The sequence below is a fragment of the Homo sapiens genome, chromosome 6, assembly GCF_000001405.40.
Source record: "Homo sapiens chromosome 6, GRCh38.p14 Primary Assembly".
Taxonomy (NCBI): domain Eukaryota; kingdom Metazoa; phylum Chordata; class Mammalia; order Primates; family Hominidae; genus Homo; species Homo sapiens.
In genome coordinates this window covers 28,004,040-28,016,673 of record NC_000006.12, presented here as the reverse complement: position 1 = coordinate 28,016,673, position 12,634 = coordinate 28,004,040, and the positions used below count along the sequence as shown (strand labels likewise).

Below are 12,634 nucleotides of genomic sequence, written 5' to 3'. Positions count from 1 at the left end.
GATAGTCTTCGGCATACCCCACAGTAGGAGTCTGAGAATCTGATCTCAGACTCCTAAAGAACTATTCTGAAGTAATAAGGACAATTTATACTTTAACATTTCACAAAACATCTCAGATTGGAGAGCTAAAAATGTTTTATTCTCTTCACTGAAGCTTTCGGGAATATATGCTCCATTGAAGCAATTAGACAAATTTGCTTTTCTGTCCAGAAAGGAAGACCAGTGGGACATGTCTAAGAAAACTTCTAACATCTGCATTTCCCTTAGACTTTGAGTACACCTGCAGGGATGGGGGCAGACTTGTTTCATTTCAGGTAAGATGCTTATCTCCATTAGCTCATCTTTGAGGCTGAGGAGATTTAGCCAGTCCTGAAACCATTCCAAAAGATTTCATTTTGGTTTAGGTACCAGAAGGTTTTTTGTTTTTTAAATTCTATGATGATTTCAAACTTACAGAAGAGTTGTAAGAGTAGTACAGATAATTTTATTTTCCCTGAATCATTTAGGAGCAGTTTGCTCTATCACACCCAAATACCTTAGTGTATTTCCTACAAACAAAAAGATTATCCTACTTAACCATACAACCGTTAAAATAATGAAACTTACATTTACATATTACTATCATCTAGATTACACAGTCCATTCAAGGTTTTTAAAAATTTTTATTAATCTTAGTTTAATTTTACTTATTTTTGTTTTTTATTGAGACGAGGTTTCACTATGTTGCCCAGGTTAGTCTTGAACTCCTGGGCTTAAGTGATTCTTCCGCCTCTGCCTCCCAAAGTGTTGGGATTATAGGCGTAAGCCACTGTGCCCGGCCTCCATTCAAGTTTTAACACTTGTCCCAATAATTTTTGTTGTTGTTGTTGTTGTTTGTTTGTTTGTTTTAAACAGGAATCCCTCAGACTGGGTTCTCCCCCTCTTATTCTCCTAAAGGAAAAGAAGAATGATCATCAAAGGCAAATGGCAGTTGCTATGCAGCAACACCAAGAACTGGCTTCACGCTCCAGAGAAAATGCTGTGCCTCCTCCTGGTGGTTTCCGGTGCTCCACATGTTCAAAGAAATTACCCGGAAATGTAGAAATGATCCCTGAAAGTATAGTCTTCCAGTAATGTTTCTTTTAGCAAAAGGATCCAATCTAAGATCTCATGTGTTTTAGTTTTCTTCAATGTGGAAAAGTTCCTCAGTCTTTGCTTGACTTCCATGACTTTGATATTTTGAAGGGTACATGGTAGTTATTTTATAAAATGATCCGAATTTCTCAATTTGAAATTATTCAATATTTCCTTATGATTAGATAGAGGTTACACATCTTTGGCAGAAATGTCACAGAAATAAGCCTGTGTCCTCTTTGCATTGTATGGGGAAGACACATGTCAGTTTGGCCCATTACAAATGATGTGAACTTTGATCACTTGGTTAAGGTTTTTCCACTGAAAAGTATTCTTCTTTCTCATTGTAATTAATAAGTATTTTATAGGGCTATGAGATGTAAGTATCCCATTCCTCATTAAACTTGCCACACTTGTTTTAGTGTGGCAGCCCATTGATGTTTCTTGGCTGAATTAATTATGATTTTCTAATCCTATCGTTCTTTCTATAGTTATTAATTGGCATTCTACTCCAAGGAAAAATCAGTCTTCCTTCCTTCCTTCCTTCCTTCCTTCTTTCTGAATATATACGGGTTATAGTATATTAATATCATGATTTATTTTGATGCTCAACTTTCCCAAATTTGTACAGTGGGAATTCCTTTAACCTGGCTTTTATGTCCACTTTAAAGAAACATTTCATTTGGAAAAATTTTATATTCACAGAAGAGATGCAATATAGAACAGAGACTTCTCATATACTCTTTACCCAGCTTTTCTAATGTCAACATTTTACATAACCATGGCTCTTTGTCCTTTTCACATGTCCCAGTCATTCTTTGAACACTTCCTTACTTTTTAGTACAAGATATTTCAGGGCAAACTTATACTTCCCTTTTCCCACCTCTGGATCAGCCATTTCTCCAAAGGTCTATAACCCGTAGGGATCTGTAGCAATTGGACTCCATCTAGTTAAATCAAAATCCTTTTCCCAGTTTCCAGATATGAGCGAGGATCTAGAATAAGAGACCATGGAATGAAAGAAAGACCAGTTCCCACTGAAGAAGGACCTATAATACCACAGCATTCATATGAATCGAGACTTTGTTTGGTCTTTGGTAGCAATTTTCCCAGTTCTTCCGTACTTGGCACTGTAGTAATTTACCAGAATAACTACATATTGGGGAAAGAGGAATTCTCATATTTTCCAGGATTTTTGGATATGGGGGTCAAGATAGCATTGATGCCAGGAGACACAAAATGACATCGTGGACCCCCTATTAGAGTGAAGCCACTAGGACAATTGATAAATGAAGTTCTGGGGTAAGTCCATCCCCAAAGGGGGACTATATTAGATTTATATTGCAGCTATAACAAATTATCTCAAACTTAGTGAATTAAAACTCTACAAATTTATTAGAGTTCTGTAGGCCAAAAGTCTAACATGGATTTCACTGAGCTGAAATCTAGGTGTTGGAGGCTGCATTCCCTTCTGGATACTCTAGTGAAGGTTTTGTTTCCTTGCCTTTTCCATCTTCTGGAGGCTGTCTGCATTCTTTGGCTTATTGCCCCCTCTCCATCTTCAAAGCTAACAACGTCTGGCTCCTTCTTTCTCGAGATACATCTTTCTGACTTTTCTTCTGTCATTGCGTCTCTCTCTGACCACAACTGGGAAAGATTCTTGACCTTCAAGAACTCATGTGATTATCTTAGATAAGCCCATTTGGACAATTAAGACATTTTCCTCATCTCAGACTCTATATCCCTAGTCACATCTGCAAAGTCCCCTTTGTCATAAAAGAAACCATATTCACAGGTTCTAGTGACATCTTTGGGGGCACATCTTTGGAAACCATTATGCTTATCATAGAGTTCAGTGTGTCCACGGATGCACCCAGTGATCATTTTCCCAGCCCCGGTGAGTATACTGGGATGAATTTACTTAGTAGCTGGTAAAACTTTCACATTGGTTCTTGACCTGTTGACTACGGGACATTGTGGTATAAAAGGCTAAAAGGAAGCCGATTAAACTGCCCCTAATGTCTAGCCAAGATAGTACATCAGAATCAATACAACATCACAGGTGAAATGGCAGATGACTGTTACCCTTAAAGATTTTTAGGTAGGGGGATAGTTATTCTCATCGTATTCCCATTTCATTCAACAATCTGTCTCCTACAAAAATTAGATGGATTGTGATGGGAGATAATGGATTACTGCAAACTTCGCCAAATAGTAGCATCATTGCCACTGATGTGTGATACTATTTTTAATAAAACAGATCCACACAAACTCCTGTACTTACTATGCACTTATTGATCTTATTGAAAAGAATACTTCTTAAACCCCCATCAAAAAGAACAATCAGAAGCAGTTTGGGTTCACTTGGTATAAACAACAGTATACATTTACAATTTGTTTTAGGGCTATGTTAACTTTTTGGTCTTAAGCAATAGTAGAGTTTGACGAGAATTTGATCATCTGGAAATCCTGAAGAACACATCCTGTCACTATATTGATGACATTATATTAATTGGCCTCATGCACAGGAAGTGGCAACTATTCTAGATGCCCTTTAGAACATATGTACTGTAACATGTGGGAGATAAATTCCACAAGATACAGAGTTCTATCACATCAATAACTTTTTTTATATAGTCCTCATAGTTTAATAGAAAGAATGCATTTTTATATGTAGTTCCTTTTAGAAATAACAAAATAGAAAATGAATTTAACCATTGTTTTATAGAAAATAGGGAAATGTCCTTCAACTGAGCATTTCTTTTCCTCATATTAATAAAGTCTGCATCCACCTCCTACATTAATAGGAAATAGGAATTTCAGATAATAAATGTGAAAAGCTGAAATAATCCTGACAAATTTTTTCAAATCAATTGTTGAAAATATTTACTTAGAAAAAAATCTTTAGTTGGAAAACAGCAGAAACAAAAGAAAACTCACACTTCATGTAAACAACAGAACACTATGCTAAGTTTAGTTCTACAATAAAAGCCACACAAATCTGTGTGTGTGTGGCCAATGACAAGGATACAGAGAAAAGAAAAAGAAAATTTAGAGACAGGTAGAGTATAACTCTTTGCTTACTGCAAATCTTGTCTGGAGGAGAACCTCTGGAAAACAATAAGTTGAGATGGCCCTAGTCTACCAGCATGCCAGAGGCAGAACCAATATAATCTCCTAAAATATGAGATTTGTGTCAATTCTTAGGGTAACTCACTAGGTGGTTTGGTTACACCAATGAATAAAGTTTCTAATTCCACACTAAGCTCATCCTTTGGAACATCAATCTCATCTCCAGATTCTTCCCCAAGCTTCTTCAACCGGCGTGGGTTGTATATGCTTCAGGGTGGTGAGATGGGCCTGCTTGGCCTTGGCTGCCACAGGCCTGGATCTTAGGAAGAGCTCAGGTTCTTTCCCTTCTGCTTCCTTCAGACTTGGTGCCTTCATTAGCTGTTCAACGTTAGTGCTGATCTGTACCATCAGAGCTTCTCTGTGTTGCTGGGCTCACTCTTCCAGGGCCCTGCCCATAAAGTAGTGTTGCAGTCGTTCTTAAGCTCGGGCATGGGGCTCGCTACTGACCACATCTGACATTGGAGAGCCCGAATGTCTTCTGACATAGTCATCCGCTTGTTGCTTCAGTTCAGCTCGGCATGCATCAGTGAGTTCTTGGAGTCCTCACCAAGGAACAAATAGTTTCTGTTTCTTACGGCACTTTGCTAGGAATTTAAACACTGCTCTTTGAAGTATGACAGCTGCTTTATATTCTGTGAGAGACTGCCTCTGTTGGCAAAAATTTTTCCTTTCCCTGTACCCTCTCCAATGTTTCTGGATAATCAGTGCTGATTTCTCTTCCATTTCCCAATTGTGTTTCTCCACTTGACCTGGATGAACTACTTTGAGCATACTCAGCCACAATTCTTGGGAAAGTCTCATGGCTCTCTGTCTTTGAAGTTGCAATCACAATCTGAGGTCCTCTTCTTCCTTCTTCCTATTTATCTCCAGCAACATCTTTGCTCGTTTAGATCTGAAACTCCTCTGCAAAGCAATCACAGCAGATGGAAGCTTCTTTAATCTCTTTCTTGTCTGAAAACCCTTCCAATAGGCTTGAATCAAGCATGCTGCTTGATGTAGTTTCTGCTTTTCTACTTCCTGATAGACCGTTGGGCTTAAAAGGCCAATGAGCTGTCTAAGTTCTTGACTGAATTCTGTCCCAGTTTCCTGTTTACTTAGTAGACTTCTGAGTCCTTTGTAGCAGGCACTTTGTCTCAGTAAAATCAAAATTTCCTGATAGGATTCAGCCATCAACAGTAGGAGTTTTGCAGCAGTACTTCTTATGACTGGACTAGGAGTTGAAAAAAGCTTGAAAATAACTTCATCTAAAATTGAATGCACGGCTTTTCCTCCTGTTCTGAGTAAATCACCACTGTTGCTCTATAGTATATTCTGTAGCATCATCATGAGTGCTGATCCTATTTGGACATTGTCAACTTGCAGTAAGTGTAAGAAATGATCACTTTGTAGTACATTCTGAATAAGTTCAACATGGCCTCCCAAAAGCCAGAAGAGCCAATCAGTCACAATTTTTAGTAACTCATCTTTTTCTTCAGCCTTAGCTGCATTGATAAAACATGTTTGCCATTATCTCCCCAAAACTAGAAAATTTTCTGCAGCTGATGGAAGTAATTCATTGGAAAGTTCCTCTGCATCTTCTCCTGGCTCCAAGCCTGCACAGCAATGGCTTTTAACTTCAACAGTATAACAGGGACATTCCACTCAGGGCTTTTTGCAACTTCAGCAGCTAGAGATAAGATCCTTGGGTCTGCACCTGTTGGCTTCATTTCTCGTATTACCTGTTGCTGGGCCACCAGCTCGGTGCTTTGGGAATCATGTCTCCCTCGCGGCACCTTTTACTGCCTCCATGGATCATTCATCCTCACTTCACATTCTTCCACTAAAGAACCTGGCTCCCATGCCACACCACAGCGCCACAGTCTTCCCGGGGCAGCATGCCACATCAATAACATTTTTAAGAGTCCAGTGGTCTGGGGCAAATAGGTGGTCCAGATTCCTATGTCATTTACTTTTCATTCACCAATGCCTCTCTGTCAGCTTACACCAATAAACTTACGGGAGATTCGCTAGGACCACCTGAAATAGGAAGAAAAACACTGGCATGGTTAACAGATGACTAAGCTTGCTATGTTGGTGAGAGCCAAAAATGGAATGGTGCTGATATATATCTCCACTCAAGGGCATCCCAGAAAGACAGTGAGAAGAAATACTCTCAGAAGGCAGACTTTCAGTCAGCCCTTCTAGTCATCACCTTTAGGTATATAGTAAGTATATACATATGATCCTGGGCAGTGGTAAATGGGTTTGGCTGGTTTATCGTGGGCCTGGAAGGAGCAAGATTGAAAGTTTGAGGACCATGTTCACAGCTTAAAGTGAGAAAAAAAATCATAGGACAGATATTTCTCACCAAAAAAATACTTCACATAAATATAGACAGATTTGACATCTATCTTTTACCTCCTCTCTGTACATAAGTACATACACACTTGGCATATAATTTAAAAAGATTTAAAAGGATATAAAGTGAACAAGTAGATACCAAAAAGCATTCTATTAAATTTAACATTCACTAATGATTAGTACTATGAGTATAAGGTCTTTGAGGTAGGAACATACTCAGAGGCAAGGTACAAGAAAACCCATGTAGAGTGACTTAAACAATTAGATGTTTGTCTCATGTGCAAAGAAGTAGTCCAGGTTGAGGGGTCAACAATGTTATCTCTGGCCAGGCATGGTGGCTCACCCCTGTGACCCCAGAACTTTGGGAGGCCAAGGTGGGTTGATCACTTGAGGTCAGGAGTTCGAGACCAGCCTGACCAACATGGTGAAACCCCATCTCTACAAAAAATACAAAAATTAGCCCAGCATGGTGGCATGTGCCTGTAATCCCAGCTACCTGGGAGGCTGAAGCAGGAGAATCGCTTGAACTTGGGAGGCAGGGGTTGCAGTGAACTGAGATCGTGCCACTGCACTCCAGCCTAGGCAACAGAGTGAGACTCTGTCTTACAAAAACAAACAAACAAAAAAACCAATGTTACCACAGAACCCAAACTTTGTCTACATTTCTGCCCCTTTATCTGTGGATCATGCTTTCATCCTCAGGTGTGTCTCTTGTTTTTCAATAAGGTTTCAATAAGCTGGCTAATACTTCAGTCTCATGTGTGCTTCGCAGGTATGAAAAAAGATAAGCGAAGAAGAAATCAGTAAGAAATACTTGAGATAATAAAAACACTGACTTAAAAAATGTTATGATGATGTATCTAAAGAATCCTAAAAGTTTATCAAGCAAACTATTAGAACTAATGAGCATTTGCTAAAGTAAATAAACCAACACACAAAATAAGTAACAAACCTTTTTGTTGCTGTATACCAGATATGGTGAATTCTTATAATTTTATGTTGTCTTGACATCCATTCTAAATATAGGTTTAACTTTCTCATACCAAAAGCAGGGCTTAATCAATCTTGCACATTTTTCAGTTCTCCATCTCCTCCTAGTTCTTCAATGTGGCTGATCCAGAAATCTGTCATATATAATCACATCCTGGTGACCACCTCTGTATTGGATAGCAAGATTCAACCAACTTGACTTGACCCACTGATCACCACCCACGCCCCACATGGACTACTCAGACTTTCTGCATTGACCAATTCTCATTTACCTCTTGATGGAGCTCATGTGTGCTTGCTCCAAACCCACCAATTAGAACTCCCCACAGGAAATCTGTTTGGGTAATACTCTGGACCCCATTGAAGTCTTCAGCCCACAGATTTCTCACTCTCTCTTGCTTCTCACCTACTGGATGGCCCGCTTTCTGTTGGTCCTGTGAGGCATGCTGCCCTTTCCTCTCTGGGATCTGTAAGTAATAAAATGCTTCTTTTGTTTTATATGTTTTGTTGAGTTGCCTTTGCTGTGTCTTACCTGACCAACACACCTGAACTTAACTTCTTACTCAGCCAGAGCTCTCCTAGAGAGAGGGTCTCTTGGTTGAAATAAACTGGACACAGGTTAGATAAGAGCCATAGAGTCTCTGCCGGTATAAACAAGTGTCCTGTAAGAGGGACACGTGGTCATGGGTCAAATACATAGGCATTAGGCTGTCCACCAGAATAAAGAAGTATCCCATGAAAGGCACATTGTAAACATCTATGACCAAACTCCCTGGATCTCTGTCAGGGCAGAGCTAGAGTTTATAGCCACTCTCTTGAGAGAGACCTCAGGACTAAAATAGAAAGAAAAAAATACAACAGAAATAACGATTAGAAACTGAAAAAGGAAGTTCTATTAAGAAAAGTAAAAGTAATACAGAAAAATATCAACTTTAGCAAAGGCCTGAGTACTACAGAAATATATTCTTGGAAGAAAAGTTTCAGAGTTTAATTTCTTTCAAATGAATTTCTAAATTTATTTCCATCCCAATAAAACATCACCATAGGATTTTAAAATAAGCTCGACAAGCTAATTTTAAACTATAAATGGAAAATTAAATAAAAAATCATTGTAGGACATTTCAGCTGGGTGCGGTGGTTCACTTCTGTGATCCCAGCACTTTGGGAGGGCAAGGCAGGCAGATCACTTGAGGCCAGGAGTTCAATATCAGCCTGGCCAACATGGCAAAAACCCATCTCTACTAAAAATACAAAAAATTAGCTGGGTGTGGTGGTGCATGTCTGTAATCCCAGCTACTCAGGAGGCTGAGGCATGAGAATTACTTGAACTCACCCCAGGAGGCAGAGGTTGCAGTGAGTCAAGATCAGGCCACTCCACTCCAGCCTGGGCAACACAGCAAGACTGTCTCAAAAGAAAAAAGTAATTATTATAGGACACTTTAATAAACTCAAAAACCTTTTAATAATCTTTTAAATGTTAAATAGTTTTAAATTTATAGAAAAATTGTAAAAGTGGTACCAAGAGTTCCCATATTGCCCACATCCAGTTTCTCCTATTATTAACATCTTACATCATTATGGTACAGTTAGCATAATTAACAAACCAATACAAGTAATTATTATAAACTAAAGTCTGTATTTTATTCACATTTCCTTAGTCTTTAGCTAACGTCCTTTTTCAGTCTCAGGAGGCTGAGGCAGGAGAATCACTTGAACCCAGGATGCAGAGGTTGCAGTGAGCTGAGATCATGCCACTGCACTCTGGCCTGGGCAACAAGAGCAAAACTCCATCTCAGAAAAAAAAAAAGTGCTTTTTCTGCATCTATTGAGACAGTCATAGAGTTTTTTCTTTGCATTTGTTCATATGGCAAATTGCACTGACTTTTGAATGTTGAAACCACTTTACATTCTTGGGGTAAATCAAACTTGGTTGTGACATATCTTTTTATATATTGCTGAATTCAATTTGCTAATATTTTCTTTTCTTTTCTTTACTCTTTTTTCTTTTCTTGAGACGGAGTCTCGCTCTGTCACTCAGGCTGGAGTGCAATGGAGCGATGTCAGCTCACTGCAACCTCCGCCTCCCAGGTTCAAGCAATTCTCTTGTCTCAGCCTCCTGAGTAGCTGGGACTACAGCTACTGGGTGTGTATGCCACCACACCCACCTAATTTTTGTATTTTTAGTAGAGACGGGGTTTCACCATGTTGGCCAGGATGGTCTCAATCTCTTGACCTCGTGATCCGCCCACCTCGTCCTCCCAAAGTGCTGGGATTACAGGCCTGAGCCACTGCTAATATTTTCTTGAAAATTTTTACATCTGTGTTCATAAGAATATTGGTCTGTACTTTCCTTTACGCCCTTGTCTCACTTTGTGATTAGGGTAATCCTGACTTCATAAAACAAGTTTGGAAGTCTTTCTTTTATTTTCTGGGAAAGATTTTGTAGAATAGGTATTATCTCTTTCTTAAATGTTTGATAGAATGTGCCAGGGAAACCATCTGGCTCAGAGTTTTATTTTTTGGTTTGGAAGTTTTAAAAACAAACTCAATTTCTTTATAAATATGAGTACTAACGCTTTTTATTTTTTCTTGATTGACCTTTGGTCATTTGTTTCTTTAAAGTGATTGGTCTGTTTCATTTAAGCTGCCAAATTTATGGTTGTACTGAGTTGCATAGTATTTCCTAAAATTTTATGTTCACTTAGAACCTTCAAATGACCTTACTTGAAAACAGAGTACTTGCAGATGTAATTAGTTAAGTTAAAATGAGTTTGTATTGGATTAAGGTGAGCCCTAATAAAAAAAAAAACTGGTGCCCATATAAGAAGAGAAAACAGAGACAAAGACACAAACGGATGGAGAATGTTGTGTAAACATGGAGGCAGAGATCGATAGCAGTGCACCACTACAAGCCAAGGAATGCCAAGAATTGCTAGCAACTGTTAGTACCTTGAAGAGGCGAGGAAGGATTCTTCCCTATAGCTAGGAGGGAGCCTGGCCCTGCTGAAACCTTGACTTTAGACTTTTTGTCTCCAGATCTGTGAGAGAATATATTTATCCTGTTTTAAACTACCCAGTGATAATTTGTTAGTAGGAAACCAATACAATGGACATACAGGCATTCATAGCATTCCCTTATTATATTTTTTATATTTGCAATGTTTATGAGGTGAGGAGAGTTGCATTCACCAATGCCTTAAGGGTGACAGTGTTTGTTTGGCCCTCTCCCACAATTTAAGGCTCATTTATTCTGTATGAGAGTTGAGAGGGGACCATGTGGAGTTTCTTCCTTCTACAGCAGCTTGTCTTCCTGTCTCTGAACTGTCCCAATCTTTATTATGAGCCTGATGGAGTTTGTGGAGAAAATGTCTGTTAGAGCATAACCAGCAAAAGGGTCTGGCTGCTTGCCACTTGCAGAAACAAGCCAAAATAACGAAATATGATAAAGAAGAAGCAAGACTTTATTATCTGTGCCAGCAAGGGGAAGGACAGGAAAAAAATTCTACTCTTTGATTTTTGGAGGGATTGCAGGGGATTTTAAAGAAAGGGTTTGGAATGCAGAAGACACAGGGGGCTAGTGTAACTACTCAGTGGGTTCACCATGCCCACTGCCTAGACAGAGCCGATTTATCAAGACAGGGGAACTGCAATACAAAAAGAGTAATTCATTTGGAGCCAGCTGTGCGGAAGACCGTTGTTTTATTGTTACTCAAATCAGTCTCCCTGACTGATTTGAGCAGAGTTTTTAAGGATAATTTGGTGGGTAGGGGAGGCCAGTGAGTCAAGAGTGCTGATTGGTTGGGTCCGAGATGAAATCATAGGTAATTGAAGTTGTCCTCTTGCACTGAGTCAGTTCCTGGGTGGGGGCCACAAGATCACATGAGCCAGTTTATCCATCTGGGTGGTGCCAGCTGATCCATCAACTGCAGGGTCTGTAAAATATCTCAAGCACTGATCTCAGGAGCAGTTTAGGGAGGGTTAGAATCTTGTAGTCTCCAGCTGCATGACTCTAAACCATATTTCTAATCTTGTGGCTAATTTGTTAGTCCTACAAAGTCAGTTTAGTCCCCAGGCAAGAAGGAGGTTTGTTTTGTGAAAAGGCTGTTATTGTCTCTGTGTTAAACTATAAACTAAGTTCCTCCCAGTTAGTTCAGCCTATGCCCAGGAATAAACAAGAACAGCTTGGAGGTTAGAAGCAAGATAGAGTTAGTTAGGCCAGATCTCTTTCACTGTCTGTTACAATTTTGCAGTGGCAGTTTCACTAGGAGGTGCCCCATGACATGACTTGCTCTGATGGCTTATCTTGAATTATTGTTCCATCTGGTGAAGGGGCTGGTACCATCGTGGATTCTATTTATAACTGGCAGGTTATAAATTAATTGCAGTTAGTCTTGTAGTCAATCTTCAGCCAGGAGTGAATTCTGGCCTTGAAGTAATCTTTTGTTGGAGAGAGAATTCCGGAAGTGCCTGGTCCATATCAGGATCCGACCCTAAAGGTAATATATTTCCTTAAGCTTTGAAGGAAATATATGACCAGATAAGTGAGCATGGTGTGTGCTTAACCTACAGCTAGGTAAATAAATGTGCATAAGGCATGGGAGCACAGAATGGGAGAAGAAAGGGAGTGGAGGTTCACAGCACATTCTGAGGCTGTATTTCAAGATGGAAGGTAACACGTACGCAGCTTGTCTTAAAGTAATATCTTGAGATTGGGGAGAAAGGAGGAAAGAAAACAAAGTTTTAAAATGTGGTTTGAAGCCAAGTTGCTTGGTTACAAGAGTACTCGGACTCTCCCTATTTACTGCCTCCAGGTGAGACAGGAATAGCACTGGGTGGTTGCAGGAGGATGGAAAAACCTGAACAACTGCTAAAACAAGAACTAGGCAAAGAAACTACAGGATAACAGAAAACCCCAAATGAGGAGAGAAAAGAGCCAAAACCTTGGGTGGTGGAATAGCAATGCTGGATGGTCACAGGGGAAGCAGGAAAATATCAAGTAGTAATTTCACATAACAGCAAGAAAGGGGCTGTTCAAATTAGCTACAAGGATAAGGACATG

At 39.5% G+C, this 12,634-nt stretch overlaps 1 non-coding gene and 1 pseudogene across 1 annotated transcript, besides 2 other annotated features; both read right to left on the bottom strand.

Annotated features, from left to right (window-relative positions):
- Nucleotides 488–1,687: an enhancer, noted in NCBI's record as "BRD4-independent group 4 enhancer chr6:27982765-27983964 (GRCh37/hg19 assembly coordinates)". NCBI's record gives its function as "activates an origin of replication core promoter dependent on BRD2, P300/CBP, MED14 and CDK7 cofactors, and independent of BRD4, by STARR-seq in HCT116 cells {active_cell/tissue: HCT116}" and the evidence as "EXISTENCE:reporter gene assay evidence [ECO:0000049][PMID:35650434]".
- Nucleotides 897–1,106, bottom strand: LOC124901506 (small nucleolar RNA U3). Its single transcript, XR_007059937.1, has one exon. It is a non-coding gene; the product is annotated as a small nucleolar RNA U3 (small nucleolar RNA).
- Nucleotides 3,772–6,123, bottom strand: IQCB2P (IQ motif containing B2 pseudogene; annotated as a pseudogene).
- Nucleotides 8,331–8,400: an enhancer, noted in NCBI's record as "active region_24340". NCBI's record gives its function as "activates an Ori minimal core promoter by ATAC-STARR-seq in GM12878 lymphoblastoid cells {active_cell/tissue: GM12878}" and the evidence as "EXISTENCE:reporter gene assay evidence [ECO:0000049][PMID:35858748]".